Source organism: Homo sapiens, chromosome 15, assembly GCF_000001405.40.
Source record: "Homo sapiens chromosome 15, GRCh38.p14 Primary Assembly".
Taxonomy (NCBI): Eukaryota; Metazoa; Chordata; class Mammalia; order Primates; family Hominidae; genus Homo; species Homo sapiens.
The window spans coordinates 57825605-57827576 of NC_000015.10; the positions used below are offsets into that span (position 1 = coordinate 57825605).

The 1972-nt window shown below is 43.0% G+C and overlaps 1 annotated feature.

Annotated features, from left to right (window-relative positions):
• Nucleotides 1575-1634: a silencer, noted in NCBI's record as "silent region_6476". NCBI's record gives its function as "represses an Ori minimal core promoter by ATAC-STARR-seq in GM12878 lymphoblastoid cells {active_cell/tissue: GM12878}" and the evidence as "EXISTENCE:reporter gene assay evidence [ECO:0000049][PMID:35858748]".

The following is a 1972-nucleotide window of genomic DNA, read 5'->3' on the forward strand; positions in this document are numbered from 1 at the left end:
CAAGAAAGTGTGCAAGATGGGTGGGGATAGGCTATATGATTTTAAAAAGGTAAAAGAACAGGCTTGCTTGGGGCTAAAAGAATAATTTTGGCTATTCCAAATTAGGATTCCATATGTAAATACGAACATAGATAAATACATATTTTATATATACATTCATATATACATTTATATTTCTCTCTCCCCCTCCTATCTAACTATCCATTCATCCATGTCATTTGCTCCTATATCTGAGAGCATAGGGTGTGTAAATTTTAAAATTTTAAACAGTTACCTTAGTGCTCGGGCAAATGGAGTCAGTTTTCTCTATATTCACAGCAATTTGTATCTTTCTAAGGCACAAAGGTCACTGAATCTTCATTAAGACCCTATAAGGTAGGGAGAGTGGAAATCATTTTCCTGATGTGAAGGTAACTAATATGCCCAGGTCACCTTGGGAGGCTGACCCTCCCCTCACCCAGGAATCGGACTAGGCTGAACAAGATTGGATGCTCTTCCCAGCCCCTTGGTGGTCTGGATCATAGAGGAGGGTCACGAATACCCTTTGTCCCATTCCTGCAGATGCTCTCCTAAGTGGGCGGTGGGCTTGTCACCCTGAAGCCTTTCAGGCTCTCCTGTGAGTGAAGACCCCTGTGTGGATACTCTGAAGAAATCTGTCAGGAGAAGGTTGCTGAAATCCCAGTGTGGATACTGGGTGTGCCAGTGATGTGTCCACCATTTGGTCGCTTCAAGAGATGTTGGTTCAGCTGCTTGGGAGGGATGGGAATGATATCTGGGGATGCAGGGCCAGAGGCCCAGATTGTTTCTGAGACATGGCTTGATGGTTGTGATTAACTGGGGAGACTGAGGTGGAACAGCTTCATAAGAGATAAAGGGGTTGATGTGTTAGAGACGCGGGAAGGCCCAACCATGAATTCTGTTGAAAACAAGCAGTATTCAAACTTTAATTATTTAAAAAAGAAGTGTTTGCAACAATTGCTTTATGTTCAATTCCCCTTCAGCCTATTTTCCTCATTGCTACCAGAAGTAAACCAGACACTGTGGGTGTGACTTTGATTAGAACCCTTCAGTTGTGTGGAATGTTAGCTGGAGTTTTCTTCAGCAGTAGAGCCCTGGGTAATTTGTTCCTCTTCTTCCCTCTACTTTTCTGTTTCCCCCCACCCCCTCCCCCCCAACTTTTTGGGTATATTTTTCATATGTAGAAAACAAATATTATTGTAAAACACGTTAAATGTATTTTAAAAGAAATCCTTTGACATATTTCTTTGCCCTTAGAAGAATAAAGTGTATATTTATCCCTGAGGAGAAGACCCTCCCTCCCTGGTTCCTGTCTTCACTAGTGTATATCCACCTGCGAGCCGCATATGCACCTCCAGGTTGTGGCTGCTCCCCACCTCTCTCTCCCCCCGGCCCTCGATTTTGTGCCCTTGCCCGTGTTCTTCTGCACAGAGGCCTCTCGCTCCTGTGTCCCCCCGCCTAATACTTTTCTCATCCTTCAAGACTCGGCCTAGGCATCATCTCCCAAATGACACCTGCTCTGACCCTACCCCCCACATTGGCAGGCATGGCCATAGTAAACAAACACACAGTCCTGAACAGTTGTTAGAAGTTGGTTCTGATATGACTCATACCTAGAGCAAAAAGGGAAATGTGAGCATATCAAAGACTCAGAGTGTCTTTGTGGAATACACAATGATCATCTAAGTTTGATTTCCTGCTTAACTTCAGGATTGACTCACAATATAACTTCCTGGTGGGAACGACAGAAAAAGTAAATTTAGAGTTATTATAACAATTATAATCCATTATATTTATATAGGGTTTAGAGTTGACAAAATGCTTTCATAACGATGTTGTATTTGACTCACAACCAATGCTCTGAGCTGTGCATGGTACAAACTCAGTTTGGATGCCAAACAGTTTTGGAGATAAGGATGTCAGGGTTTAGAGAGGTAAGTTACCTGGTTCACAG